The sequence below is a fragment of the Homo sapiens genome, chromosome 13 (genome assembly GCF_000001405.40).
Source record: "Homo sapiens chromosome 13, GRCh38.p14 Primary Assembly".
Classification (NCBI taxonomy): domain Eukaryota; kingdom Metazoa; phylum Chordata; class Mammalia; order Primates; family Hominidae; genus Homo; species Homo sapiens.
This window is the reverse complement of record NC_000013.11, coordinates 54,089,263-54,094,402: the sequence shown is the minus strand read 5'-3', so window position 1 is coordinate 54,094,402 and position 5,140 is coordinate 54,089,263.

The window sequence follows — 5,140 nt, the reverse complement described above, 5'->3', positions numbered from 1 at the left end:
AAATAGAAACACAGATCAATGCAACATAAGAGAAAACTCAGAAATAAGCCACATATCTACAACTGATATATCAACTGATCATTGACACAGTCAACAAATATACACTGGGGAAAGGATACCCTACTCAATAAATGAGCTGGGAAAATAGGATGGTCATATGCAAAAGAATGAAACGGGATCCCTATCTCTCAACATATAGAAAAATCAACTCCAGATGAATTAAAGACCTACATGTAGACCTGGAATTATAAATATACCAGAGGAAAGCCTAGGGAAAATGCCTCTTAACATTGGTCTAGGCAAAAACTTCCTGACTCTGACCTCAAAAGAACAAACAATAAAAACAAAAGTAGACAAATGAGACTTAATTCAACTAAAAAGATTCTGAAAAGTAAAAGAAATAATTAATAAAGTGAACAGAAAACCTGAAGAATTGGAGAAAATATTTGCAAACTGTGCATGAAGCAGGGAAATAATATCCATTTATAAGAGACTCAAAGACTCAACCAACAATAACTCCATTAAAAAGTGGGCAAGGGACATGAGTAGACACTTTTCAAAAGAAGAGGTACAAGTAGCCAAGAAGCCATGAAAAAAATGTTCAACATTCCTAATCATCAGAGAAATGCACATTAGAACCATGAGATATCATGTTACATCAGTCAGAATGGCTACTATGAAAAAGGAAAAGGAAAAACGTATTGGTGAGGATGCAGAGAAAAGGGAATGCACTGTTGGTGGGCATGTAAGTTAGTATCACCTAATGTAAGTATCATGTAAGTTAGTATGAAAAACAGTATGGAGACTTCCCAAAGAAATAAAAATAGAACTGCTGTTCTATCCAGCAATTTCAGTACTGAGTATCTACCTAAAGGAAAAGTTATCATTGAATCAAAAAGATTCTAGGAGGGAAATATCAGTGTCAAGATAGCTGACTAGAAGCAGCTAGTGTGGGCTGCTCTCACAGAAAGGAGATGGAGTGGCAAGTAAACACTAACTGTTCACCTGGATTATCCAGGAAGACACATTGGGATTCATCAAGGAAGCAAGGAAACCTACAGAGACCAGAGAAGAGTGAGACAGCACAGCCACTCAGCCGGGATTGGCATGGAGGCAAGTGAGGTTCCCCACTGCAGAAAATGAGTGAGAGAGAACCCCCAGGGATCCATATTTCTGTCACAGACCTTTGCAATCCTGGGGAAAGGGAATCCCCCCGACCACCTTCCCCTTGGGCCTCTGCACTGACACTGAGAGCTTCATGGAGTCTGTGCAAAACTTCTGCTCAGGCCCATATGGATCCCCAAGGGACTTGCATTCCTCAGCACCCCAGCACTAGCTGCTGTTTCGTTGCCAACAAAAGAGTCCAGGCTCTCTCACATACTTCTAGGATAGGGTCTGCATCCGTTGTGCCGAGGAGCCTACAATCTGCAAGCCTTACCTCGGCTACACCCCAGCAGGCAAAGCCCAGTGCCTTGGGACCCCCGCGCATCCACCCCACCCCTGCCGGCTCTGCACTTCTCTGAGATAACAGACAGTCAGCCATTTTAGCCTCTGCCCCTGCTGCCCTCAGTCTGGGGAGGGAGTGAAGAGCCTAAGGATTATCACGGGGCCTCCAGCACACAGTAATTGGAAAAGTGGCCAGGCTGTTTTCTATGCAGGTCCCTGCTCCTGCTATTCCTCACTGGGCAGGACCTCCTGACATGGGCCCCAGCACAGCCACCAAACCCCGACCTGAACTCTCAGACTGGTAGCAACTCTGCACTTCTCTGAGATGGAGCTCCCAGAGGTAACAGGCTGCTCTTTTTGCTGCTTCTGCATTCCCCACCCCTACTGCCCTCAGGCTGAGGAGGGAGCAAAGAGCCTAAAAACTACTGTGGGCTTCCAGCACACCACAGGTGCCTTAAGGAAAAGAAGTCAGACTATTTTCCATGGGGGCCCCTGCTCCTGCTACTCCTCACTGAGCAGGGCTTCCCAATCTGGGCCCCCAGCAAGTCATGCTGCCCCCAGCCTGAGCACTTCAGTTGGTGGCAGTTCTGTTTCTATGGGGAGGAAATCCCAGAGACAACCCACAGGGCCTCTACCATTGCTGCAGTAGCAGTACTTCCCTTGCTGCCCTCACACTGCAGGAAGAATATAGACCCTAATTGGTTTGCTGGCACCTCCAACACACCACAGCTGCCATATGGAGAGGAGTCCAGTCTCTTTTCCCTGAGAACCCCTGAATCTGTTCTCTTCACCAGGCACAGCCCCCAGCTTGGGCCCACAGTGCAGCATCTCTCCCATAGCAGCTCTTTGTCTCTCTGGGGTGGAGCTCCCGGGGGCATCTGACAGCTCCTCTGACACAGCTGCTGCAGCCATACCTGTCCTTGCTGCCACCAGGCTGGGGAAGGAATAAAGAGTCTGAGTGCCTTATTCACATTTCTAGCATGCTGTAGACACCCTATAGAGAAGAGGCCAGAATGTCTTTCTTGCAATCCCCCTGCTCCTCCCTCCTTGTCACCAGGCAGGGGCCCTTGGCTTGAGCCTGTAACACAGCTATCCAACCCTGGGCCAGTGGCTCCAATTAGCAGCAGCTCTGTGTTTATCTGGGGTGAAGCCCCAAGAGACAAGTGAAAAGCCCTCTGCCATTGCCATTGCCAAGGTCCCCACCTCTGCTACTCCAAGCTAGGGAGGAAACAAAAAGCTGGATCATGACGCAGGGCTGCAGTCAGCAACCTAGAAGACGTAAGCAGAGATCTGTAAGTAGCCAGAACTCCAGTAGGAGAGAAGTTCACACTCTCAGAGGAATGGGAGGTAGCACAGTGGCCAATGCCAGGAAATACAGAGGAATCCTATGGCTGAGCAAGAGCCTATCTACCAGCCATTACAAGTAAGCACCATCTCCTAGATTGCAGCCTAACATCAACACCAATAATACTTTTCTAACATAGTCTTCTGTGAAACCAAGGACAAGAGTTCATCTACAAATAAAAATCCTGCACAAACCCAAGAATAAAGCCAACTGACTATACTCAAAATACACCACAGTTAAAGGGATATTAGCCCACACAATGAGAAAGCACCAGTGCAAGAACTCTGGCAACTCTAAAAGCCAGTGTCTTCTTAACTCCAAATGACTGCACTAGCACCCCAGCAATGGTTCTTAACCAGAATGAAATGGCTGAAATGGCAGACAAAGAATTAAAAATCTGGACAACAATGAAGATCATTGAGATTCAGGAGAAAAGTTGATACCCATTCCAAAGAATCTAAGGTATCCAATAAAATGATTCGAAAGATGAAAGACAAAATAGCCATTTTAAGAAGGAACCAGACTGAGCTGATAGAGCTGGAAAGCTCACTATAAGAGTTTGATAACATAATCAGAATTATTAACAATAGAAGAGTTCAAGCTGAGGAAAGAATCTCAGAGTTGGAAAACCAGTTATTCAAATTAACTCAGTCAGACAAAAATAAAGAAAAAATAACTTTACAAAAATGAACAAAACCTCTGAGAAATATAATTTCTCAGGAATTCTATAATGAGACCAAATCTACTAATCATCATCCCTGAAAGAGAAGGAGAGAGACCAAGGAACTTGGAAAACATATTCAAGGATATTGTCCATGAATATTTTCCCAAACTTGCTAAAGAGGTTGACATGAAATTCAGGGAATTCAGAGAACCCCTGCAAGATACTATACAAGATGATCATCCCCAAGACAAAGAGCAGATTCTCCAAGGCCAAAGTGAAAGAAAAATATTAAAGACAGCTAGAAAGAAGGGGCTGGTCACCTACAGAAGGAACCATCAGGTTAACAGCAGACCTTTCAGCAGAAAACCTCCAAGCTAGAAAAGATTGGGAACCTATATTCAGAATCCTTAAAGAAAATAAATTCCAACCAAGAATTTCATATCAAGCCAAACTAAGCTTCATAAGAGGAGAAATAAAATCATTTCCAGACCAGCAAGTGTTAAGGGAATTTGTTACCACCAGACCTGCCTTACAAGAGGCCCTTAAGGGAGTGCTAAACATGGAAACAAAAGACTGTTACCAGCCACCACAAAAACACGCTCAAGTACATACACCATCAACACTATAAAGCAAATTCATAATCAGCTAACATAAAAACCAGCTAACAACATCACGACAAGATCAAGTCTGGATATATCAATATTAATCTTGAATGTAAATAGGCTAAATGCCCCACTTAAAAGGCACAAAGTGGCAAGTTGGATAAAGAAGCAAGACCCAACTTTATGCTGTTTTCAAGGGATCCATCATGGCTGAGCATGTTGTTGGTGCATGTCTGTGATCCCAGCTGCTGGGGAGGCTGAGGCATGAGAATAGCTTGAACCTAGGATATGGAGTCTGCAATGAGTCAAGATCATACCACTGCACTCTAGCCTGGGTGACAGAGCATGACTTTTGTCTCAAAAAAAAAAAAAAATCCATCTCACATGCAAGGCCACCCATAGGATCAAAAGAGCAAGGGCTGCTATACTTATCTCAGACAAAATAGACTTTAAATCAACAACAATCAAAAAGGACAAAGAAGAGCATCATTACATAATGATAAAGCATTTGATTCAACAAGGAAGACTTGTATTCTAAATATATATGCACCAAACACTGGATCACTCACATTCATAAAGCAAGTTTTTAGAGACTTATGAAGAGACAGATAACCATACAATCACAGTGGGAGACTTCAACAGTCCATTGACAGTATTGGACAGACCGTGGAAGCAGAATACTAACAAAGATATTTGGGACCTAAACTTGACGCTTGACCAAATGAACCTAACAGATATCTACAGAACATTTCACCCAACAACAACTGAACATATATTCTCATCTGCACATGGCACATACTCCAAAATTGACCACAGCCTTAGCCATAGGCAATTCTCAAAAAATTCAAAAAAATTGAAATTATACCATCCACACTCTCAGACCACATATCAAAAAAGAAGAAATCAATACCAAGAGGATCTCTCAAACCTATACAATTAAATGGATGTTAAACATTCTGCTCCTGAATGATTTTGAGTACACACTGAAATTAAGGCAGAAATAAAGAAATTATTTGAAAGTAATAAAAACAAAAATACAGCATATCAGAATCCCTAGGACAGATCTAAAGCAGTGTTAAGAGG